Source organism: Homo sapiens, chromosome 10 (genome assembly GCF_000001405.40).
Source record: "Homo sapiens chromosome 10, GRCh38.p14 Primary Assembly".
NCBI lineage: Eukaryota > Metazoa > Chordata > Mammalia > Primates > Hominidae > Homo > Homo sapiens.
In genome coordinates, this window is record NC_000010.11 from 62,072,460 (window position 1) to 62,099,101 (window position 26,642).

Here is a 26,642-nt window from a genome sequence, read left to right on the forward strand (position 1 = left end):
TAGCATCAGCAAGCAGAGTACAGAAGGGTGGATTTGGAGTTGAAAGACAATAGGCCATCCGCCAAGTGGGAACCCCATATGCAGAGCCCATTTTATGTGTGGCAACACCAAAAATTGGCAGTGTGGAGCCTCCAACTGTGTTGTTGGAGCATAGCTGTCCCAGGGTGATTAGCAAGGTCCTTTACCTTTCCTTGGTATTTCCTTTTTGCCATCTAGACTCCTCTCACATCCTTGTGATCAGATGCAACCGCTAACTACCAAAATTTGAAGATCATTGATTTTATTTACAACAGTGCCTCTCTCAATGTTCAATCAATCATTCTCCAAGAGGAATCACCCATAATCCTATGTGTTGTGGTGGGGAGAAAAAGCTAGGATTACCGTTCTAGATGTCTTCCTTTTAATTGGTTCTACCAAAGAAGGGCAGAGGACATGCACATATATCCAAGAAGAGACTGAAGCTCTGGGCTAAAACTTCATGATTATGGTGGATTTCATTCATTCTTGCTAGTCACAGGTTGCATGAACAGATAAAACAGAGATGACTGGATTGGTGAAGGAACACTGTTTTCAAGAAGGGTCAATGAGTTGAGAATGGTCAGGACTTTGTGGGCAAATATCTAGTCTGGAAATGCCCTTGGAATTTTGTAAAGCCTTCCAAACCAAATCAGGATGATGAGAGCTCTTCCTACTAGGCTGCGGGTTCTTCTGTTCTCATTCTTTTCACTCCGATAAAGAGAACTGCTCTTTTTCCTATTTCCCTGCCACCAGCTTTGCTTTCCTAGAAGATGAAGAAGTGAGTGATCTCTATGCATTATCCACTGATTTATTTTTCATGCACTGTGGTTCATGTTTCCAGTAAACGTTTTCATTTTACAACAAGAAAAATGTAGCCAGTTCCTCAGTAAAATGTTACTTGTATATTAGTTGAGCACTTTTGGTTTATTAATGAGTGCAATAATGAAAGTGTGGGTTGTTGAAAAGAATCAATGGGTGTTTTTATTTAAGGCAAAGCAGAAATGGTACAATGCTTGTGAATACATCATTGTCACTGAAGGCCTGACTCGTACAAACTTGCCTCTGATTGGTTTAAATCAAATAGGTCCAAGCACTTCATAAAAATGTCTTTGTCAGCCGGGTTTTGCTTCCAAATCTATTCATCTCTGTCAGTTTTTAATATTAGTACCAGGCTCCTGGCCATAGTCCATTAGTACTGTACTTAATTGCTCATGTTACAGATGATTACCAATATAAAAAGCATTAATGTTTTCCCATCGCAAGGCTGTTGCTATGTAGATGTCTCAAACTCAGCAAAGCTTATGAAATGTGGTTATTCTGGACATTTCTTGCTCAGGATTTATAGATGAAGTTACTGTAGCTTTTGATGCAAAGAAAAATACCCACCTCATTCTTTCTAAGTGGAACATTTTCTTTCTTGTCTAACTCTTTACTTAAAAGTAACCAGTTCACTTTATTTTTATCAGTAAAGGAACAAAAAGGAAAACGACTACTTTTATGGAATTCTCTTAGCTTGATTTTCTGGAATAGTAAATCACTTTAAAGGCTTTGTTTTCACATGCAGATTTCCCTTTTTAAAAAATGTTTTTAAAGTCCATGCAGGGGGAAAAAAATCTTTACTCAGAATGCTAGATTACTGGTTTTAATTTTCCTGAATAAATTACATGGTCTGTTTCTGTGGAGCACATGAAGTTGTTATTAGGGATTTTAAAAGGAGCATTAAAGCAAAAGTACTTTATGATGTGCATTTTTGAGTATTTAGAAAATCAAAATCATAAACAAATGTATTTGTTTGTGAGGGAAATTAGCAACTATTCTTCATCTTCTTGCACACATAATGCCTAATTTCAAATCCAACCTTTTGCTTTTACCATAAGCATTCCTTGGACAAGATTGTCACCCTGCATGGCTGAGGCAGCTTTCTTTGCAGGGACTTAAGGTGAGCTGTACCCAAGCCAGATGTACTTGGGCAGATACTGGGTGATAGCTGGAGCTTCTGCCTTTTTTCTCTGAAGGTATAAGGTAGAGTGTGGGAGGCTTCATGTTTTGAATAAGATAAGCATGTGCTTTAAGTTAAGGACCAAAAATATATCAGGTTCTAAGGAACCCACCTAATCATACCATGGATAAAGGCTGGGGAAGGAAAGGTGAGTTACAGTTCTGTGCACATCAAGGACATGATTCCATGTATTCTTGCTCATTTGGACACCCTTGGAGTTAATAGATACGCAATTCAGAAAGTCACAGGCCACATCTCAGAATTGTATATTTAAGAGGACCCCTAGCAACTCCCTAGACCAGTGCTACTCAAATGAGATTTTCTGACTTGTCCATGAACTGTTTTCTACTAGCCCATAACAAGCTAATAAGCACAGCAATTGCGAATAAGCATTGATACACTTACGCTGAAATTTGCCAGAATAACATTATGTCTGTTGAAGCTAATAAAAACTTGGGGCTTGTGTTTTGTATGCCTCCTTTTGAATTCCATTTTTCTAGTAATTCATTTTTATGGTTGTTTACAAAAGCATCAGTCAGCATCAGATGGGAAATTTAGAAAACTCGTCTTTCACCCAGGTCAGTGGAGAAGGTCCGCTCCTACATCTTGGCCACAAACTCAGATATTTATGGAGGCAGGTAGCAAAGATGAGTGCAGGGGCCACGGCTGGAAAGTGTGAAACTGGCACGCACAGCCCGGGCCAGAGAGCCCAAAGGGACCAGCCCACACTGTTGCTGTAGGTAGATGCCGTCTGTGCGCTTCCTGACCTTCTATGTTTTCAAGATATTTTTTTAATGTGAAATAACCTAACTTACAAACACTGGCTCCAATATTTAAAAAAATATTTTATATAAGCTAAATCAAACATGCCCAGGGGCAAAATATAGCCTACAGGATGCCAAGTTCCACAAAGACTGAAATATGCTTGACACTAGGCTCTCCAGCCTCTGATACAGCGCCCTGCAGTGGGAGGGCCTAGAGGAAGCTTCAGGGTTCCAGGCGCTCTTACTCTGCTCTACACACTCTTCCGTGTGCTGAGCAAAACACCCTCTGTGGCTTCCCATTGACCTTGCCTTGCCTTCGGAGGACGACTCGCCACATGTCTGCTCCCTTTGCTCTGATCAGCGTCCAGGAGCTTGTCAAAGCTCCTCTTTCACTTCAGGTCTTCCTGTTCCATTCAACCAAGCCTCAGAGCGTCAGTAATGGACCTTCACCAGCTCGGCTTGCTCTCATGCAGGCGCCTCCAGTTTGTGTCACTCAGAATACCCAAAGCTACTCCAGATGTGGCATGTAGTATTTCTCAGGATGCGGGCAGTGTCAGTCTATCAACACAGCCTAAGATTACATTTGGAATGGGCAAGAAGCCCTCTCCTACTGGCCTGTTGCATTTTCTTGGATAGGATAGATTTGCCATTTGATTAACTGTCTTTTTTATTTACTGCTGCCCTCAAAACCCAATCGGTGTTTTTTGGACATCTGCCATGTGCAGAGAGCACTCTCAGGGGTAATGAGAACATATAAAGCAAAGAGTTGAGAATTGGCTGGCAAACAATGAGGAGGTACCCTTGCCACCACATTCATAGCTGAGATTGCTAAAGGAACAGGATGCTGCTTCCGGTGAGCCCGGGTTCAGCCTCAGAATTCTTCTCAGTATGGCATCCCCAGGGAGCCACCACGACTCATTAGAACTGGAAGATGCCATGATCCTTGGTTTATCTAACCCATCACAAGATCTGAGTCAAAGGCCGTACACACATGGAAGAGAGTTATATCTATGTCTGTGGTGGGCATGGTGGCTCACGCCTATAATCCCAGCACTTTGGGAGGCCGAGGCGGGCAGATGACTTGAGACCCAGGAGTTCGAAACCAGCCTGGCCAACATGGTAAAACCCTGCCTCTACTAAAAAATACAACAATTAGCTGGGGCTGGTGGCACACACCTGTAATCCTGACTACTCAGATGTCTGAGGCACGAGAATCACGGGATGAATCACGGGATGGCTGAATATGGGAAGTGGAGGGTTGCAGTGAGCCGAGATCACGCCACCGCACTCCGGTCTGGGCTACAGAGCGAGACTCTGTCTCAAAAAAAAAAAAAAAAACTACATCTATAAAAACTAGTTTTATGTAATTAAAAAAAATAAGTTCAACAGGGATCAAAGAAGGAAGAGAGAAATTTCAACTGAAATGAGCAAAGTCCCCTCTGGAAAATGTGTATAAAAAGGTAGGGGCTGTCAGGAAAGTCCTAAGGCTGAATTTCCAAGTCACATACCCCAAAGGCAGGTAGTGTAGTTTATCCTCTCATGTCTATGAACTATTATCCTAAGGTGCGGTGGGTAGACTCTGCCCATCCTCATCCATGGTAAGGTTACCCAGTCAATGGACTTGCATTTCCTTTCCCAACACTGTCTTTCTCATGGCAGTCCTGACCTGTGGCCCCTATTGGGCTTACCTCTGCAACACGGCCACCCTGCCACTCTCATCTCCCTAAACCCACAGAGGGCATCCTAGCCCTATCAACAACCAGAAGCCCAGGAAACTGAAAACAAGTTGCCCAGAGTTAGGCTGACTGAGGTTGTACAGCTTCTCTTCCATCTACACTCCACCAAGCTTGTTCTTACAGGGCTCTGAGTCAGTTCAATGCAAACACCCTACACCCAGAGTAGCTTCATCTTGTCATCTGTAAAGAATTTCTCTCCAAAGGACAGTCAGGTAATTTCATACACAAGAGCCGCATAGTCTGTATCACTCAGCATGCCTAAAATGCTCTGATAACTTTCCAATGCCTGGATATTTCAAGAAACTTTTAGAAAGGAAAACAAAACTCTAGCCAGACCCTGGAGTAGAAAAACTGGTTTCTATTTTAAAAAAATAAACAACAGCCTTTGAAAAAAATCTCTATTTAAAAATTCTTAAATTTGCCTCTAAATGCAAGTTGTAATTAATAGAAGTTAGAGTTTACACTGTTGAGTGTAAAAACACCCTCAGGCACAAACTAATCAAGTGTGTATGTCATGCTGTAAACTACAGCGAGTTCTTTGTTTGACCCCCCCCAAAAAAAAAGCTTGCCAAACAGCAGTTTTTCTTTGTCGAGCTCCTTTATTGTCTCATTTTTGTTTTTATCCTACTTCCTCTGTCCCATCCTTTGAACCTAACTATAGTATTTAAGAAACCTTGCAGGTCCCATGTTTTATTGATAGTTTTCATCAAGCATGAATTTAAATTTGAGAATAGATTAGGTGTCTTAGCCCTTTTCTTTTTGATAAATAACAAAAGGTTTCTACTTGTGATTTTCTGTCCTCAGGGTTTTATCATTAAGATTAAATAACTGTACTCTCAAGCATGCCACTGCACAAACATCTTTTCAGTTATGTGAGTAACAGATGCCTTCACAAAGGAACTATTGAAAATTCAGAAAGCATGTTTCCAAAAAAGAAAAGGGAAAAAAAGTATCATATGACAGAAGAATGTAATTGTTTACCATTAAAGTATATTCTTAACTCTTCCACTGAAAACCTCTTGGAACATTTTGTTTTTGTGTAAGTTACTACAAAGTTTGACCAAAATAATAAATGTTGTGGGAGAACTGTTGAACATTTCAGAAGTTCTGGAACCAGTAGGATCTAACATGCATGGGGCTTAAATGCAATAGTTGTTTGCCTATTTTTATATTTTGACACTGGCTTCCATCATTTGTGGGGTACACATCACATTGAAAACACTGCCATGTTGGCTGGGCATAGTGGCTTACCCTGTAATCCCAGCACTTTGGGAGGCCGAGGTGGGTGGATTGCTTGTACCCAGGAGTTTGAGACCACCCTGGGCAACATGGTGATACCCTATCTCTACTAAAAATAAAAAAAATAGCCACGTGCAGTGACGCATACCTGTAGTCCCATCTATTCAGGGAGTTGAGGTGGGAAGATCATCTGAGTCCAGGAAGTTAAGGCTGCAGTAAGCCGTGATTGCATGAGACCCTGTCTCAAAACAAAACAGTATTGGGTTTATTATTCTTGAAATAATGTTCATCTGCCCTTGAAATGGATCCATACAACTCAATTCTGAAGTCATTGGGCTTTTTTCATTGAGAAGAGTCATTGCTGCAGTTGTTGCTGGCTGGCATTGTAGAGGGCTAGGCACCATGCATGGTCTGTGTTCACTGTAATAAGCATGCATTTTAATCCCTGGGACATAACATCAGCCTTCCTTAAGTCCATTCCAACTTTCTTCAATGTGGTTGTCATTTGAAAGGCATAGGAACAACATTAGTCTAGATGCTCTTACATGTGGCATGGAGACATCATAGAAAGCCCCAAAGGAGCTTTATTAGGGAGACCATGGGAAGCTTGGGCTTGGTAAGATTAAGTCCTAGAGGCTGGAATTCATGGAGGATATGATTCTCAAGTTTCTCTTACCATCCGATATTAAGTTGGGCATGATCCAACTAGTATCACTACCTTTTGAAGAGCTATGGCATGGTTATTGTAGCATATTGTAAGAGTAGTTGCCCAGTGCCCAAGCCATAGGGCTTCTTCTGATGTAGGAGGTTGACCCTTTGTGGAATGGCTACATATGTATTTTATAGGCCTGTTGCCTCTGAGAAAAGGAGAATGCTCACTCCAGTTTCTCAGGTAACTCCTTAGGAGCTAGGAATTCACTTAACCCAGGCAGGAGTGATCTTTCAGTATCTCCTCCGTGTTGGTATGTCTCCGTGTTGATACATCTGTGTATGAAGATGCACAGCCACCTTTTTGAGATGAAGATAGCTGGACTAGCAGAGGCAGGCAGTTTGGTGGTCGAACTCAAAATTTTGACACTAAATAGCTGTGTGCCATTGACTAGTCACTTAATCGTTTAGCTCTGAACCTCAGTTTTGTCATCCATAAAATGAGATAAAATAATATATCTGTAGATATTTCTTTCTGTAATGGTTGAAATTAAAGCATGCAGAGTGCCTGGTATTAATAAGAATGTAATGCGTGGTGGTGGCTGTTAATATTGTAATGCCTAATCAATATATATGAATGACCTGAATGAGGTTTCTCTACCTTCCCACCTTGCTTCTAACACAGTCCCCTGAAATCCATGTAACTCCAGTTCAGGAAAGCTGTCATCCTTGAGCTAACTCTCTCACACTGACACATCTTTATGGGAGCCGAGCCACCACCTTGCTGTGTCCAGTACCACGTACCTTTCTTTCTTCTCTTCATTTAGGGTCACACACACTCCGGGACCATGGAGGGAGGTATCAGAATTATCAGTGGGCCTAAGAAACAACTCTCCCACCCACTTCCAGGGGCAAATGGAGAGAGCATTAAAGCCTTCAAAAAGTTTTCTTGTCCATCTGCTGCCCATTGAGTAGGTAATGAAGCCCCTGTGAGCAGATCATTTTCCCAGAAAAGAGACCTTTTGTGGTGACAAATGGTTATATTTCATCGTTGTTAATAGTGGACTCCATACCTTTTAGGTGTCTTAGCATAGAATACAGGTGATGCTAGTTATACCTACCTCATTTTTAAAGTATGTAAGGCAGTTTGGCTTTGGTAGCTCTTGGGCAAACTGAGTCTTTCACACAGACTCTGTGTTGCACTCTGCCGCCATTTTGTTGGCTCAGATGGGCCCCGCTATAGGCTCGTTCTTCATGTCAGCGTGGCTTCTTACTCCGTGGTTTGGTGCCCCAGACTTTCAGTTCACATCCTTGCCTGTTGGGAGGTGACACTGGAGGCCTCTTTCTCACCTGTCTTGGTTATGGGGAGAGCTTGTCACACTCGGCACACTATTTTTTCTGCTCCACTCAAGTTCACACCATAAAATGGAGATCTTCTGTGGCTCACATCTCTCTCAGATGGAGCTTAGCTTTTACTGTGCTCAACCAGGGTTGTGCCCGCTGAGGAAACATTCTCATTTCTCTGCTCATTTACATAGCACATTTGTGTATTTGGCTGTTGATTTGGTTCCCTACCCCCAAAAGCTCTTCTTCCACTTTTATGGTCATGGTCTAGCACCTGAGAGGTGAACAGTATGTGAGATTAGAAAAACTCTCTATGCTTATTGGAACTGTAACAAGCATGTGTACCTCATCTTCAGAAAGGAAAAATATACCTTCTATTGGCTCCATATTTGGTGAAAGATTCCTTCCCATACTTCACAGTAAAGTTATATTTTAATTTCTGGCTGCAAAGGGAAATGTCTGGCCAAGCTGTAGAAATTTATCAAGGCTGGAATCAACTCAGAGGTGTAATGACTCCATTTGGGGTGAGATCAGGTCTGAAGTCCCAGTTGAACCAATATGTCATTTCGTTGTTACTACAAAAAAAAAGCCTAATAGTATTAGAATAGTAGTGCCTTTTTTTTTTCTTTTTTTGAGACAGAGTCTCACTCTGTCACCCAGGCTGGAGTGCAGTGGCATGATCTCGGCTCACTTCAGCTTCTGCCACTGGGGTTCAAGCAATTCTCCTGCCTCAGTTTCCCAAGTGGCTGGGATTACAGGCACGTACCACCATGCCTGGCTAATTATTGTATTTTTAGTAGAGATGGGCTGGTCTCGAACTCCTGACCCCAAGTGATCCGACTGCCTCCGCCTGCCAAAGTGCTGGGATTACAGGCGTGAGCTACCACACTTGGCCAGTAGTGGCATCTTTGACCTGACATGCACCAATGTTATTTCCCTCTGCCCCTAGAAAATATTCTGCTCCAAGGACACCAGCAAACCTTTAGGTCTGGAATTTCTCACTGATTTGATACCATAAAGTGCCTATGCAGTAACTGGGGTGACTTTGGGATTCAAATACAACCCTAAAAGTTCACCACTTCTTGCCCCCACTCTCTGGATTCAATCAGTTCCAGACATTATTGTAATACCATTTTTCAAGCTCTGTAAATAGATGGATTCTCGTTTTTCCTATTAAGCACTGTTTGCTAAATATTTTGGCCCAAAAGTTCAGTCATTCCATGCAAGCATTAATCAATACAGGAGACATTAGTGGTTACTGGTTCAGATGAGATTTGACATTATTTTTCCTCTGCTTCTGAGGAAGGGAGGGGAATGTTGTGTAATAAAGATGAAGGGTCTTTTCTTCTTTTGTACAAAATGCAAATGATGAGGACATGTGTGATACACACTTCTCTAATGCAAGGCTGCTGGTTTTTGTTGAGAAAGAGAGGCAAGGCCCTGGAGGATTTTAGACTTTGTAAATATAAAATTATCTGCCTTAGTGTTTAAAAAAATAATAAAAGGGAGAAAGAGTTGGCAGGTTGCCAGATTACTTACATTACAGTAATAGATTTGCTGACCCCTGACTTCTGCTGTAGAGAAATGTATTGAATTTTTCATAATATCAGATGAGGCAGATCTAAAAACCTAGTGTACTAAGCACCATTATTTAACTTGAGATTTAGCAAAGCCGAAATCTTTTCAAACCAGCAATTTCATGTATGATGATAATTTAGTGGCTCAGATGCTAACAAATCAAGGTTATAATGCTATTGACTTGTTAATTTTAACTTGGGTTGATTTTAAGTCTTTTTTTTTTTAAGAAAGAAGAATGAGGAGGGGAAAAAATCTTGCTTTTCACAGTGACTGAATTTAATAAGAATCTCCGTGATAGCAAAAGGCCCCCCTACTGTTTCTGCTTTGGGGTGGAAAATGTTATTCTTGTATTATTCCTAGGGAAAAATAAAATCTCATGCTGCTACAAATCTTATGCCTATGGAAAGATGTTATTTTTTAATACATAATGGCTTACCTATTTCAGATCCATTAATCGCATCGTAAATAAGCATTTTGCTAATCTGAAATGTGAAATCTGGATAATAATAAAGGCCCATTTATCTGTCCAGCTTTCAATCCCCAGACTAGATGTAGATCAGGAAGGGGAAAATCTCTGGATTTTCTAATGAATATATTGCTTCTCTTCCCCATTACTTCCACCCACCTAAAAGCCAGCCCCCATTCTTAGAGTTGCAGTCCATTGAAAATATTTCTCCTGTGTAATGAATTCTTGGGGGCTGGAGTGCATGTTTGCTTTTATCTGTACAGTTTAGAAACTGATAAAATCTTTGCTGTGCTACAAATATTTGAGAAATAATCAACCTCAAGGCGCAGGCATGGTGCATTTTACTAAATTCTTTATATAATACAAACCTACTCAGCTTTCTACATAGGGCAATGTTGACCTAATCTAAGGCTAACCTGTTTTTAATGGTACCACATGTACGTTGAACGTTTAAATGTTCAGAAACCTATAATAGCTTTTGTCCTCTTGTACTGTAAAAACTTCTAATAATCATATGATAAGATCATATCCTGTGGGGTAATTGTGTTGTACCATGACAGGATAACTGAAAAAACATTCAGTGAAAATTGCACCAAACGGAAATCACTATATGAAGCAGCGATTGTGTGCCGTGCGAGACCGTGCCCTGTTCTTCAAAGCTTAGCTGGTCATATTTCTACTTGCTTCCTTTTAGCTTCTGCCTTGCTTGTTTTATTTTAGGAGGCTTTTTTCCCCAAGCCACTATAATTATCTTTCAATGATTTAGAAGGGGGGGAAAAAACACTCGGTTGACCTTTACACACACACACACACTCTCTCACACACTCACACACTCTCATATACTCTCTCTGGAAGCCTTGAACAAGTAGGGCTTGTGTTTGGATTCAGTTTTACCTTAGTCATGCCTCTTTCCAGATACAAGAAACATTTAATTCCAGATTTCCTGCTTCTGGCTTTAGGCCTTTGACCAGCAAAGTGAAATGTATTTTTTACTGCTGTCAGCCAGCCAGCTGCTGAGTTGAGTGAAGGGGAGAAAAAAAAAAAAAAATGAAAGAAAAAATGAAAAAAAAAAAAAAGGAACCGAAATGAGAATGGTGCCCTACTTTGTGAACTTGCAAAATTAGAAAAGGAAATTAAAGTCTCCTTAGCACCCATCTAGAGAGCCAGGTTGGCCCAGGGCTCTCAGAACCCAGAGTGAGGGGTCCTTGGGCGTCCATGGGGTGTCTCTCCCACCCAATTCTCTGCTTTCCCTCCTCCTCCTTCCCACACTCAGAGGTAATGCTGTCATTCTTCTCAGTAAAGAGGGTCCCTCGTGGTGTCACCATCTCCATCAGAAAATGAAGCTGGGGGAAGGGTGGTACCAGCAAATTGCTATCATTGGAATACCCAGACTACAGTGTTCCTTGAGTTCCCATGGCAACAAAACAAAAGTAAAACAAACCTATCTGTCCCAACAATAAAATATGTTTCCATTAAAGTCAATTTAAAATATCTTTCCAGTTTAAAATATTCAATGCATTTTGCTCCCAGACAAAAATCCACAACCTGCCAATATTGAAGAGGATAAAGTCCCTGGCAGAACCAGGCAGAAAAAAGGAATTGGGGGGAATGTTGGGGACTTTACAGATGAGACAGAATAAATTCAAGTATGAACAGGATTGCTTTTTTCTCTTTGTGCTTAGTTATGCTTTTTATTATATAAACATTAACTGTAATATTACAGTGGGAAGCAGGTATTTGGCAGCCATATATTATTTTAGTAAGTCTACATAGGGAGGGCAGTTTCCAGTTTTAGCAGCTGTAACATGTTTAAACTCAGTTTGTAATGGGATCTGAAGATAACTATTCCCCATGGGCTCTGTTGATCTTCATGGCTGGCCAACTGCCAGATGTAGGGCTCCAAAGTATTATTCACGCCTCCTTGCTCATACCTTGTCCAAGCATGCTCAGTAAATGAATTTTGTTTCTAATATGCTATAAATTGGGATCTGATTTTCCCATAGTTTTATTGGTATTTTATTAAAGAGCAAAATATTAGGATCACAAATGTCCCCACATCCGTACTGTCAAACCTGAACAATCGTGTATGGTTAAGCAGTTGAGATCCAAATAACATAGATAGAAACCAATTTTAGGATAGCAAACCAATATCCAGACCAAGGAAGTTTTTGCCTGGGAATCTTAGTTTAAAAATAATCAGGATCCCCAATATTTGAACAGACTTATGATGTTTATAAGCCAAGTACATTTTCTTCATTGAGTCAACTTGTCTTATTTAAAACAAATTATGTTTGCTGTATTAAAGTTCATATTTTTAAGGCTGAGTCTTATATTAATCCCACAGTGAGTCATTAATCATACCAAATGCATTATAAAAACTTTAATCACTGAAGTTGAAACTGAGATTGTAATGCAATCCATCCCTTTTAATTACATCAGCTATTTTTCCCTTTCAGATAAAGAGCTACGTCGCAAAGGGAAAACAGATTAAAACTAGAGCTGTTTGATGTTTCTCTTTTTAGAGCAATTTTATGCAGTTTGTTTAAAAAGTTATATAATTTAAATGCTTGAAATTTTCAGGCCTCTGGTTTTTGTGGCTTGCATAGTCTGTCTGCCTTCCTTCTCGCTGGGGCGGTCTTTTACTTAGCACACTAAAACAGAACTCCTAGTGGAGTCCCCTACCCCACTCAGAGCTGTGGGATAAGACTAAACTGTCTCTTGGCCACGCTGTGCTTGCCTCTCATTGACCTTTTTATCTTAGATGTTTCATCTCTATCTTGACATGAATGAAAATAAAATGTTTTCAGATGGGCAGCACTAGGTTCAGATCTCACCTCTAACAAATGGTATGACTCAGGCAAATTGTTTAACCTTTATAGGCCTCAATTGCCTCATATGTTAAAAAAGAGAATAATAATAATACTCCATAGGGATATTGTGGAGTTTACATAAAATAATCTTTAAATGTACCTGGCACATGCTAGTACCTACTAGAATATAAGCTTCATGAGCTCAGAGGCTTTGAATGTTTGGTTCATGGCTGTGTCTCAGTGCCTAGAACACTGCCTATAGTATGTGCTCAATAAATAGTTGTTGATGGACTGGTAAAGCAGCTAGCATTATTGTTGCAGTTTTGTTAGCACTTAGCCAGGTGCCATGGGGAGTGATGGTGATATTGTTAATGTTGGATGCTTCCATTGGTATCTTGGTCTATAGACCCACAAAACCAAAAAGAGGTCTTGCTGAGAAGTATTAAGTTACCAGGTACTGATTTTGACCAAGGAAGCAGAACACTAAAGTGTAGAGTAAGTTTATAGAAGTATAGCACTGTCACTGGAGATGAAGTCATTTAATAATTTGCTTATATTGAGAAAAGAAAGTAAACCCCCATAGCATTGATGCTACTGGAATTACTCAACTGACCGATCATCTCTTCTGTTAACCTTTTAGATTAATCCTACCATATGAAAGATTTATTAAAGGAGAAGAAGATAAGCCCCTGCCTCCAATCAAACCTCGGAAACAGGAGAACAGTTCACAGGAAAATGAGAACAAAACAAAAGTATCTGGAACCAAACGCATCAAACATGAAATACCTAAAAGCAAGAAAGAAAAAGAAAATGCCCCAAAGCCCCAGGATGCAGCAGAGGTGAGTTGCTTTGCTCCATAGAAATACCTCTGGAAGACATGTGCTGCCTCGAGGTCCTTCTGGAGCCCTGAATCCACAGCTGTGTCCCTGCACAGTTGGATGGCTTGATGAAGAAACCAAGAAATCTAAGCTTCACAGTTCCCCACATAGTTCCCCAGTTCCTGAAAGCCTTTCAGCTTGCTCATGAGATGAAATCCAATGCCTAGTATTGAATGAGATAGCCCAGGAATAGAATCTAGAAAGATACAAACATCCTGTAGAAAACTGATAGCAAATGCTCAGGCTTCAAGAGAAAAGGGTCCAGAGCCACACTAACATCAAAGAATTTTACTGTGAAAACATGGCTTCTTGGCCGCTCCACAGCCCGTCTATCTGAGGTGCTGGTGCGACTTTAAAACATATTTTGGGGCTGGACATGGTGGCTCGCGCCTGTAATCCTAGCACTCTGGGAGGCCAAGGCAGGTGGATTGCTTGAGCCCAGGAATTCAAGAAGAGCGTGGGCAACATGGTGAGACCCAGTCTCTACAAACAAAGCTCACACCTGTAATCCCAGCACTTTGGGAGGCTGAGGCGGGCGGATCACAAGGTCAGGAGATGGAGACCATCCTGGCTAACACGGTGAAACCCCGTCTCTACTAAAAATACAAAAAATTAGCCAGGTGTGGTGGTGGGCGCCTGTAGTCCCGGCTACTTGGGAGGCCAAGGCAGGAGAATGGCATGAACCTGGGAGGCAGAGCTTGCAGTGAGCTGAGATCACGACAGCCTGGGTGACAGAGCAAGACTCCATCTCAAAAAAAAAAAAAAAAAAAAAATATCAGGCATGGTGGTGCCCCGCTGTGGTCCCAGCTACTCAAGAGGCTGAGGTGGGAGGATAACCAGAGCCCTGGGAGGTAAAGTCTGCAGTGAGCTGTGATTATACCACTGCACTCCTGCCTGGGTGACAGAGTGAAGCCGTGTCTCAAAAAAAATGCTTTGGAGGTCCAGGAAAGGGGACCTTGGAACTGTGGTGCTGTATCCTGCAAGACTCTCCTGAAAACTTTAGAGAAGTGTTTGTCTCCCATAATTGATTTCTGTGCAACAGCCATGGGTTGAGACCAATTTAAGAAAATCTTAAGTGTGGCCGGGCGCGGTGGCTCACGCCTGTAATCCCAGCATTTTGGGAGGCCGAGGCGGTGGATCACGAGGTCAGGAGATCGAGAGCATCCTGGCTAATACGGTAAAACCCCGTCTCTACTAAAAATACAAAAAATTAGCCAGGCGTGGTGGTGGGCACCTGTAGTCCCAGCTACTCAGGAGGCTGAGGCAGGAGAATGGCGTGAACCCAGGAGGCGGAGCTTGCAGTGAGCCGAGATCAGGCCACTGCACTCCAGCCTGGGTGACAGAGAGAGACTCTATCTCAAAAAAAAAAAAAAAAAAAAGGAAAAAAGATCTTAAGTGCATATTATTTATAGGGGAATTTTGAAATGGTTCCTATGAAACCATTATTATTTTTCATATTAACAGGTAGTTTCTGCACTTTTTAAGCCCCCAACAGCCTTTTGGTAGAAGCCATTACCCCCAGCATGTAGCCAGTCATGTAGGCTGATCTGGGCTCCATTTCAACATGAATAATAAAAAACGCTGCTGCCCATTAAAAAAAAAAAAAAACTGAGCAGCCACATTTGGAGACAGCATGTTCTAGGATTCAACCCCAGAGGGAATTTTGATGCTGATATTAAATACCCCCTAAAAAATCAGGTTTATAATGAACACATAAGAGGCTCCATAATTAAACACTGGTTTAAATTGCACATGTACAACACGCACCAACCTCCCATCTAGACATCAACTTACCCAGCTGACTCTTACATAAGAAAATAGTATTGATACCAAGATTAGAAATTTGTGGGTTTTTTGTTTTTATTAGGTTTCATAATTATTTTAAGCTCTAGTAACTAAAAAGGGGGAGGAGGAAGAAGATGATGCAGATTTTTTTTTTTTTTGAGACAGAGTCTCTCTCTGTCTCCCAGGCTAGAGTGCAGTGGTGCAATCTCGGTTCATTGCAACCTCCGCCTCCCAGGTTCAAGCAATTCTCCTGCCTCAGCCTCCCGAGTAGCTAGGACTACAGGCATGCACCACCACACCCGGTTAATATTTTTGTATCTTTAGTAGAGACAGGGTTTCACCATGTTGGTCAGGCTGGTCTTGAACTCCTGACCTCAAATGATCCTCCTGCCTTGGCCTCCCAACGTGCTGAGATTACAGGTGTGAGCCACCGTCCCTGGCCAGATGATGCAGATTTCTCAACATCTGCAAGCTTGCAACATAAATGGCCAAAAGCAAGGAAATTCCAAGTGCATGCTTACATTCCATTTTTCCTTGATACTTTTGGCCTGGTGATTTATTATAGGGTTTCAGATGAGTGTGTTCTATTAGCTGCCATATGTACACAAAACACCAGGGGACAAACTGAGGACCAAGGGGACAGCTGACCGTTGAATATCTCCAATTTGGGGATTAAGTTTGAAATGGTTGGTTTGTGAATGGTAGGAGGAATCTTTAGCCTATGCACTGAGCCTGTCAGCTTGGATGATGACCATGCCCAAGAGTGGAGCCTTACTCCCTGGAGTCCATAGAAACCCTGAAAGCTGTTAGGCTTTGTGTTTCCTGTAGGCTGCAACTGTTCCCTTCAGGGAGCTGTAAGTGTCTCAGGTTTTGAAAGTTGTCATGATGAGGTTATCTAAACCTCATGGAATCTTCCACCCTCTCCAAGGTTGACCTTATAATACGAATCACTTCTCACCTCCAACATAGAACCATGTTATTAGCCAGGTGTATTTTTTCTCATTAACTCTATTTGGGGTTTTTGGTTTGGATTTTATTGTTTTCATCGCTTTTAGTTTTTGGTGTTTTCAATATGAAGCGGTGAACTCAATGGAGATACAAAGGGTGAGAAATTCCCTCTAGTTGAATCCACTATATTCAAGTAATGGGATTGCAAGTTGCATGGTGGGAAGCTAACATTTAACATACTAAGCAGATCATAAAATGTCTTACTAGAAAAAAAGTCCTTTACTTTTTTCTGCCTAGCTTTCAAAGACTTCCTAAACCTGTTTTACAACCCGAAGCATGGGACTCTGATATAACTGCAGTTCTACATCATAGAAACTTCAATGAGACTGAGTATCCCTCATTGCCCTGCGTCAAACTATAGCCCCATAAGAAACTAACAATTAGATGCAATTTGCCTTTTTCCCTTGCCATACTCATTTGTCTTTATTTTTGTGTCATGTATAAGCTCAAGAGACCAATGTGATGATTATTAATGTAGAAGAAGTAATGATATTTGTACTGGAAAAGGCAGCTACTAGTACAAAAAATAAAAAGAAATAATGATGATAAGCAAAGTCTCTTAGGTATAACATGTCCCTAAAATTCAGGGTTTTTTTTTTAAAGGGATTTAAGGAAAAATACCTGTGAAATAGGTGTGATTTCTTAAAACTTTTGTTCCCACGTATTCCTAAACCAGCATCCTCAATCTTACCCAAAGATGCTAATTGGCAGACCCACCCTTCCTTCCTTCCTGCCTGCCTGCCTTCCTTCCTTCCTTTCTTCCTTCCTTCCTTCCCTCCCTCCTTCCTTCTTTTTCTTTTTTTTTTTTTTTTTTGTGAAAGTTACACTCTTGTTGCCCAAGCTATAGTGCAATGGCATGATCTCGGCTCACCGCATCCTCCACCTCTGGGGTTCAAGCGATTCTCCTGCCTCAGCCTCCTGAGTAGCTGGGATTACAGGCACCCACCACCACACCTGGCTAATTTTTGTTTTTTTACTAGAGATGAGGTTTTGCCATGTTGACCAGGCTGGTCTTGAACTCCTGACCTCAGGTGATCTGCCTGCCTCGGCCTCCCTAAGTGCTGAGATTACAGGCACATCTTTTCTTAACAGAGAAGAACAAAGTTCAAGGGATGAGATGGAAAAAGGAGGGGAAGAATACCAGCTCAGTACAACTGTTTTGTGACTGCTCTGCTAAGACATGTCAGGGCAGAATGACAGCAGTTTTGAAAGGGCTTGTCAGTCAGCTGGGTCATAGATGGAAAGTTAAAATGACCTCCTAAGGTCAAAGTTTATATGGCTGCATAATGCAGTAAATGAGTCGAATTGGTACCCACAACTTCTGTCAGTAGGGTCACATAAGGAGTGTGTCTGTCTCATTGACTATAATTTATTTCATTCAACAGCAAAGCTATATTTGCGGTGGCACTGACTGTCTGAATTTTGACAACTTCATTTTGGGCTTTAATAGAAATGTAGTTTGCTGCAACCTAGAAGGACTTAGTCTCCTCTGTCCCTCTGGTAGACAGGCTGCCAAGAAATCTTCATACTTTGTCAATATTTTAGCATTATCTGCATATCATCTGGCCCTGAGTAGAAATTATTAACACTTATGCATTGCTAATCTTCAGTGCATCATATTGAATACATTGGGAAGGGATTTGCCCTGTTAAGGAAAGCAGGGAGTTGCAATAGGTTTGTTGTTTGTCGTTAACATGGGGTTGGTTGGATTTTTGAAAGAGAAATGCTTTAAAAAAATCTTTCTCAGGAGTATCATAAAACACAACATGTAATTTAAAACCCATTTGGATAATTGACTGATTTGACAAGAAGACAACCTTAGAATTAAACTATATATTAGAATCAAGGAGTGATATGATTGTATACCATCAGTACATAATACTTTGCTATTTTGATAGGTATCTCATAAGGGACTGAAGCGAATATGCATATTTCCCCTAATGTTTCTGTAATTTAGATTTCTTTGTTTAGAGCCATGATTGGGGAGTAATAAAGCTTTACAGAAACTTCACGAGCTGATTGACAAGCCTGTTTTCAAGTAAAACTGCTGTGTGGAATATTTTATTTCATAGCAAAACATGTCTGTGTATTTGGTTTTCTTCTGACTGTCTTTTGAAATATGTTACCAGGTTTCATCAGAGCAAGAAAAAGAACAAGAGACTTTAATAAGCCAGAAAAGCATCCCTGAGCCTCTCCCAGCAGCAGACATGAAGAAAAAAATAGAAGGGTATCAGGAATTTTCAGCGAAGCCCCTGGCATCCAGAGTAGACCCAGAGAAGGACAACGAAACAGACCAAGGTTCCAACAGTGAGAAGGTGGCAGAGGAGGCGGGAGAGAAGGGGCCCACACCTCCACTCCCAAGTGCTCCTCTGGCCCCAGAAAAAGATTCAGCCTTGGTCCCTGGGGCCAGCAAACAGCCACTCACCTCTCCTAGTGCCCTGGTGGACTCAAAACAAGAATCCAAACTGTGCTGTTTTACAGAGAGCCCTGAAAGTGAACCCCAAGAAGCATCCTTCCCCAGCTTCCCCACCACACAGCCACCGCTGGCAAACCAGAATGAGACGGAGGATGACAAACTGCCCGCCATGGCAGATTACATTGCCAACTGCACCGTGAAGGTGGACCAGCTGGGCAGTGACGACATCCACAATGCGCTCAAGCAGACCCCAAAGGTCCTTGTGGTCCAGTCGTTTGACATGTTCAAAGACAAAGACCTGACTGGGCCCATGAACGAGAACCATGGACTTAATTACACGCCCCTGCTCTACTCTAGGGGCAACCCAGGCATCATGTCCCCACTGGCCAAGAAAAAGCTTTTGTCCCAAGTGAGTGGGGCCAGCCTCTCCAGCAGCTACCCTTATGGCTCCCCACCCCCTTTGATCAGCAAAAAGAAACTGATTGCTAGGGATGACTTGTGTTCCAGTTTGTCCCAGACCCACCATGGCCAAAGCACTGACCATATGGCGGTCAGCCGGCCATCAGTGATTCAGCACGTCCAGAGTTTCAGAAGCAAGCCCTCGGAAGAGAGAAAGACCATCAATGACATCTTTAAGCATGAGAAACTGAGTCGATCAGATCCCCACCGCTGCAGCTTCTCCAAGCATCACCTTAACCCCCTTGCTGACTCCTACGTCCTGAAGCAAGAAATTCAGGAGGGCAAGGATAAACTCTTAGAGAAAAGGGCCCTCCCCCATTCCCACATGCCTAGCTTCCTGGCTGACTTCTACTCGTCCCCTCATCTCCATAGCCTCTACAGACACACCGAGCACCATCTTCATAATGAACAGACATCCAAATACCCTTCCAGGGACATGTACAGGGAATCGGAAAACAGTTCTTTTCCTTCCCACAGACACCAAGAAAAGCTCCATGTAAATTATCTCACGTCCCTGCACCTGCAAGACAAAAAGTCGGCGGCAGCAGAAGCCCCTACGGATGATCAGCCTACAGATCTGAGCCTTCCCAAGAACCCGCACAAACCTACCGGCAAGGTCCTGGGCCTGGCTCATTCCACCACAGGGCCCCAGGAGAGCAAAGGCATCTCCCAGTTCCAGGTCTTAGGCAGCCAGAGTCGAGACTGTCACCCCAAAGCCTGTCGGGTATCACCCATGACCATGTCAGGCCCTAAAAAATACCCTGAATCGCTTTCAAGATCAGGAAAACCTCACCATGTGAGACTGGAGAATTTCAGGAAGATGGAAGGCATGGTCCACCCAATCCTGCACCGGAAAATGAGCCCGCAGAACATTGGGGCGGCGCGGCCGATCAAGCGCAGCCTGGAGGATTTGGACCTTGTGATTGCAGGGAAAAAGGCCCGGGCAGTGTCTCCCTTAGACCCATCCAAGGAGGTCTCTGGGAAGGAGAAGGCCTCTGAGCAGGAGAGTGAAGGCAGCAAAGCAGCGCACGGTGGGCATTCCGGGGGCGGATCAGAAGGCCACAAGCTTCCCCTCTCCTCCCCTATCTTCCCAGGTCTGTATTCCGGGAGCCTGTGTAACTCGGGCCTCAACTCCAGGCTCCCGGCTGGGTATTCTCATTCTCTGCAGTACTTGAAAAACCAGACTGTGCTTTCTCCACTCATGCAGCCCCTGGCTTTCCACTCGCTTGTGATGCAAAGAGGAATTTTTACATCACCGACAAATTCTCAGCAGCTGTACAGACACTTGGCTGCGGCTACACCTGTAGGAAGTTCATATGGGGACCTTTTGCATAACAGCATTTACCCTTTAGCTGCTATAAATCCTCAAGCTGCCTTTCCATCTTCCCAGCTGTCATCCGTGCACCCCAGTACAAAACTGTAGGCTCAGCTCTGCCCAGCAGTCCAAAGCGGCATGGCCAACAGAGCTTCACTCCTTACCCAGGAGTGCTGGCTTATAGAGTTAGAAGTCAGTATTTCTTCTAATCTGAGGCTATGATCAGTCCCAGCTGTAGGGGCCCAGAGGGGAGGTGAACATGCCTGATTTTTGTGGGACAACTCTAGCCCACAAACTGACTGGCTGGTGAGTCTTGACTCCCTTCCAACACAGATGCCCAGGCACCTCCAGATCATTCACTTCGCACGTGGGCCTTGTGAAGGGATTTGTGAATATCCAGGAAGAACTTAGAGGACCCCATCTGAGTTCGGATGGTCAGGAAACAATCTGGGCAAAAAAGAGGCAGGCATTTCAAAGGAAGGGGCAAGGAAGACTGGCAAACAGATGGCAAGGGATGCCCCTCTTTTTCATAAAACTCTCCAAGGTTCAATCAATGCAATGTATAGTGAAACTTCAATAGATCTTTCATTTTGACACTATTAAACAATCCAGAGAAGTAAACACTGTTAAATTGACTGTATATATTTGCTTCTTAAAACTACCTGTATCACTGTTTGCTCACCTAATTTATATACAGGTAGTTCCATTTTCTCCCAGTTCCTTCTCGTCTTTTTTTTTTTTTTTTTTTTTTTTTTTATTAAATGGTATTGCTTTTGTTTGCAGGTCTTTTTGTTTTTGTTTTGTTTTTGAGGCTGACTGACTGTCCTAGTTGTTGTGTGTTTGTAATTTTTCCACATCTTATTTTGAGCAGCTTTGGGTGGTAAAGTTATTGTTTACAAATTGAAGCAACTGATTCTAGTGGAACAAATGAAAAAGAAACAGTCAAGCACACAATAGTGCAAAGAACGTTCCTTTGTAGATCCGCAACTTAAGGATTTTGTTCCTCATAAATGGCATAGTTGAAAGAGCTTATACACTGCTTACCCAGCCAAATGCTTTGCTTTGAAGTATTGGGTTCTGTGAAAATATTGAGCATTGTACTTACCTTATCTAGGCTGTGAAACTGTCCTACATACCAGAGAATCATAAAAACAAAAACCTCACTGGCAGCAAGCTGCCGAATAACAACAGAGTCTAGAGGACATATTTGTGGGCTGCACAGATATTTTAGGAATTTCAGAAATTAGAACAGGAGCCAAAATGATTTACATTGGCGTTGGCACTGATTCCTTTAAATGGTCTGGGAAAGGGGGTTGGGAAGAGGATGGAGCTCAACTGGCCAGAAGAGGAGCAGCTGCAGTCCTGATAGCTTCTCTAGCCTCGGTCTTTTGAGTGATAAGTAGTCATGTTGTTTTCATCCAGTTGGTTTCTTGTCATTCCCAAGAAGAATCTCCCAGGCCACATCTTTGGGGATAACTGACATACTGGATTAGCCTTTTCAAAAGAAAAGTCATCCTATTTGGTTTTATGGGGTGTGAGTTTTGTGTGTACACACACAGAAACATGTAAGGTGGTTTGGGTCATGTTTTTAACCACCTGGCAATACAGTCCACTTTCTGGTTTCTTTTATTGTGGGAAGTAAATGGTCAAGCTGCTCAGGCAGTGAAAAGATGTGGAGAATGTCCGTTGTCATTCTTGCCACTGTATTCCATTTGCTACCGAGATATAACATTAAGGTGGACACATTTTCTAACTGTATTAATTAAAAGTCAATGGATACAGAGAGTGGATTTTCTCCCCAAGTCCCATCCCTGCTGAAGACCGCTTGGATGAACTCCCCAACCCACTGTGCCCCTCCCGCAACACTACCAGTAGACTTTAGAACCATAGTTAACTAAGTCTTTTACCTCTGAGATACTTAATTCTGGGAAAATTGGTGACAATTTTCAACTTCTAAATAGGTAACTCGACTGCAAAATAATCAAAACTGATAACAATGAAACTGCGGCTCTTAAACAAAGCCATGCATGCCGTGCATTTGTATTGAAATGTCTCCATGATATGAAGCCAAATATTCAATGTAACATACTTAATATCCAAAGGTGGAAACAAAAGAATGTAGAGATCCAGTGTTAAGAGTTCCATTTGCTTCAATTAATTATTTACCTTCCTGTGGAATAATATATATATATATATTTAATAGAACCATAGATAGACTAGTAGAATTTAGATTATAAATGTGTGAGTGCAGATTATCCTGCTATTGCACAAGCTAGAGGGGGGAAAAATCTCAATTCCAGCTGGCAAGATGCTAGCCAGGACACATATAAGAAAGTTGCACTAGATTGAATGGTCACAGAATCGGAGGACATGGAAGAAAAAGGAAACTTCGGTGGTTCTGCAGCAGACATGGGCTAGGTCATATGTGGTTTCTATGAGTTCGTGTCTCAAAAAAAAAAGGAGGGGGGGCATCTGTCCCCGGTGGAGCTCACCTATTTGGAATATGGGGCATTTGTTTTTTCCACTGCAATGATTTCAGTCTGGTTTCATCATGTTGGAATTCGATCACACCATTTTCAAACAATGTTAACATAGTCCAGCTTTTGTTTTTCTCATCTCTTCTGAGAGGAGACTCACTGTTTCTGTCTGAGGAAGCTCATACCCTCGGCAAAACATCAGGACAAATAAAGAGAAATGGGGGTACGCATTCCCAACAGAAGCAGTGTGTTATTTGTTTTAAAACTCTGAACAGAGATCTTGGAAATCTTTCAAAAAGACCATTGAATTCTTCATTGGCTGAGAACGACGTTTTAAAATGTCTTAAATAAGGCTTTGTTTGCATTGTTTGAGTTCAAGGGGCCTTATTATTGAATGGAATTGCACAAGCCTTTCTTTGTGCAATCAAACCATTGTTATTGGTAGTTCTGTAAAGGAAACTGTGGAATCGAATTGGCAGTGGAGTCATAAATCTATTTACTGAGTGTGGCTTCCAAGAAATGTTGCAATTCAAAATGCACTAAGTCTGTGATTTATTGGAGATTTGGAGATTCTAAATAATATTTTTAAAAAACTTCCATGCAACTTCTGGTTTAATGTTTGGCAACTCCACATGATAAAAAAATAAAAACAGCCCAACCGAGTTTCGGAATTAAGTATTCTTCTAGTAAGTGATTCAAACTTGTAATATTTGCCACAGGACTGACTTATTTATTTACTAGCTAGAAGCTCTTAAGTTCACTTGTTTATCAGGGCATATACAGAAGGGTTTGTTAAAACTCGATGTTAACTTTACAACTTTCTGACCTGGTGCATGAATTCTCAAGTACTGTATTTCACTGTGTTGGTGTGTCTGATGGAAATTTCGAGGTGGTCCCACAAAAATATTTTATGTAGTGTGCCTTCAAAGAGAACCATTTATTTCTCTTCACTTATCGTCCCACAAAGTCACATTTGGTGGTGGTCAGCCAAGTCGCATCTGGTCTAGTTTTACTCTTGTCCCAATTTTAAAGAGAAATGGGAATGAGTTTGCCCTGGTGAGACCCATACCATTGCAATGATTATCTTGAGCACTTAAAGTCCAGTGTTGGCTGTTAGTGTATTTGATATTCTGCCTGTCTCCTCATGGTTGAAATATGTCTGAAGAATAGCAGCATAATCTCTTGGCTGTTTATACTTTTTTAAACTTTCCTGTGTTGTAAATATTGTATACTTTTGGTGATTCCAGCTATGTAACCTCTATGCTCTGTAAGGTGATTATTTGTATATAGCAACATGGCCCAGTGATATTATATAGTTTCCCAATGGAGAGGTTATTGAGTAACCTTTGCATTAGTTTAAACACTACCAGAAGAATGCTGAGCCAACTATAAACACTCAATTTTGTATGTTTTCCAAATTGTACTTATTACTGCTTTTGATACTGTATTACGTGCCAATAGTTTCCCAATCACATAGCAGGCAAGAGATATTTTGTACTTTTTGATCCACTGTAATATTTAATAAAAAATGTTACTATCTGTTTCCTTTTGGGTGTGAGTAATCTGTCACTCTTCCTGAGGAGCCTGTGGCCTCCCCAGAAGACTTTCCACCCCATCTGTCCAAATTGAATGATAACAGTAATGATGGCAATGTCTGTAATTCACTAAGGACCTAGTGGGTGCCCATTTGGCAAATACCTCTTATCTTCACAACCTTATGTAAATATGGTTATACCTATTTTACTTATGAGAAAACTAAAGCTTAGAGAGGTAAATCAACTGGTCCAAGATCACCCAACAGATGGCAGAGTCAGGATTTGAAGCCAGGGCTCTCATCTATGTACTTCCTTTGTATACCATCCTCCTCCGCTGGTAGGATAATCAGAAAAGTTATTTATTTATTTATTTGTTTGTTTGTTTGTTTATTTATTTTGAGACAGAGTCTCACTCGGTCGCCCAGGCTGAGTGCAGTGGTGCGACCTCAACTCACTGCAACCTCCGCCTCCCAGGTTCAAGCGATTCTCCTGCCTCAGCCTCCTGAGTAGCTGGGATTACAGGTGCGTGCCACCACGCCCAGCTAATTTTTTAATTTTTAGTAGAGACGGGGTTTCACCATGTTGGTCACGCTAGTCTTGAACTACTGACCTCAGGATCCACCCGCCTCAGCCTCCCAAAGTGCTGGGATTACAGGCATGAGCCACTGTACCAGGCCAAGTTATTGTTTTTTATTCAGTCAACAAAGATTTACTCATGCCCCAATTGCCAGGCATAGTATTAGGAGCTGGGAATACAATGGTAAATAAAATATAAAATATTGTCTCTGGGAGCTTATAAATCTTATGGGAAAGAGAGTTCATCAAATAGTCATTCCTATAAATTCAAAACTTCAGTGTGACTGAGTTCCAGGAGAGGAGTTTGAGGAGTATAATGACACACAAAGAGGAGGTGGTGACTAAAGTGACTGGCTGAGTATGGGAGGGAAGGAATTGGGAGGAGGGTAGGTCAAGCACAGGGTACCACATGTGCAAAGGCCCTGAAGCAGGAACGAGTTTGGCTTATTAGAGGAATTGAGAAAAGCCTGTGGGGCTTGATTGCATTGTTGAAGGAGTGAGGTTAGAGAGCGTAGCAGGGGCCAGGCGGGTAGGTCCCAATAGACCAGATTGATTTGATCAATTTTCTCTTTATCCTAAGCAAGAAAGATTTGTCTTTTTCAATATCATCCTGTGGCTGTTGTGTGAGGGGAACTTAAGAGCAATCTAACATGAGTGAGGTGGTGGTCATTTCAATGGGGTGATGGAAGGTGAGAGTGGACACATTTCAGAGGTACTTAGAAGGAGGAATGAGCAAACATGGTGATTAATTAAATAGGGCAATTGATGGAAAGATACTCAGGAAGGGTTGAAAATCTGGGGAAACACTGCGTATTCTGAGGTCTGCATCTTTTAATCGTAGACCTGGTGGTGATGGACAAAGATTTCTGATCTTTTGTTCCCTTGACCTCTGCCCCGGCTTCCCTTGGCTTTGCTCAGCTTATCGTGAGTTGAAATGAGGCATTTACAAAGTAACACCCTATTTGTTCCCTTCTTATGAGTCCTAGAGAGGGAGGAGAGGTGTGGGGAACAGGACTTATGGTCAGGATGGCTTTGATAGACAGGAAAGAGTAAGCTGCTAGCAAGCATGTCACCACAACTCAGAGGAGAAAAGAAACATGTATTTTGGTAAAAGCCACGGGATCCTTTTCCTCATCGTTATTGACTCTCCAAAGGACCCTGCCCATTCACATCGGGGTCAGCAGGAGTTGCAGCAACATGTTAGGAGCCTCACCCTCTTCTTGCTGGCTGTCATTCTTTAGCTAATCCCGCACCCGACAAACAAACACAGGAGGAACCCCCAGCCCCATGGTCCCCTGGCCCTCATTCTGAGTCATGTGTATTTCACCATATCATGTGACTTGCTGTGAGTACATCAGAAGAACGTTCTTCCACCTGTGACACATTCAGCATTTGTAGATCTGATACTTGATTCCTACGCGATAGGAAACATTGTAAGTTATCCATTCTTGCCAGGCGCTGGCTGGCGGATACTATTTGGAGAAGAGGTGCTTTTGCTAAAGATGTCACTCATAGGGCAAAAGCAATGACAAGCCCAATGTCTATTCTAGGAAAGTGGCCAAAGTTGACAAATGTTTTAGGGCTGATAGTG

At 42.0% G+C, this 26,642-nt stretch overlaps 1 protein-coding gene across 2 annotated transcripts in view, besides 2 other annotated features; it reads left to right on the forward strand.

Moving 5' to 3' along the window:
• ARID5B (AT-rich interaction domain 5B) overlaps positions 1-24,485 on the forward strand; it is a 195,246-nt gene extending 170,761 nt beyond the window's left edge. For both annotated transcript variants that reach the window (NM_032199.3, NM_001244638.2), the window contains 2 exons: positions 13,243-13,441; positions 18,403-24,485. In NM_032199.3, the coding sequence (NP_115575.1) occupies positions 13,243-13,441; positions 18,403-20,571 (2,368 nt within the window). In that variant the 3' untranslated portion in view covers positions 20,572-24,485. The remainder of the gene's footprint in view (positions 1-13,242; positions 13,442-18,402) is intronic.
• Positions 7,805-7,854: an enhancer, noted in NCBI's record as "active region_3412". NCBI's record gives its function as "activates an Ori minimal core promoter by ATAC-STARR-seq in GM12878 lymphoblastoid cells {active_cell/tissue: GM12878}" and the evidence as "EXISTENCE:reporter gene assay evidence [ECO:0000049][PMID:35858748]".
• Positions 10,240-10,299: a silencer, noted in NCBI's record as "silent region_2395". NCBI's record gives its function as "represses an Ori minimal core promoter by ATAC-STARR-seq in GM12878 lymphoblastoid cells {active_cell/tissue: GM12878}" and the evidence as "EXISTENCE:reporter gene assay evidence [ECO:0000049][PMID:35858748]".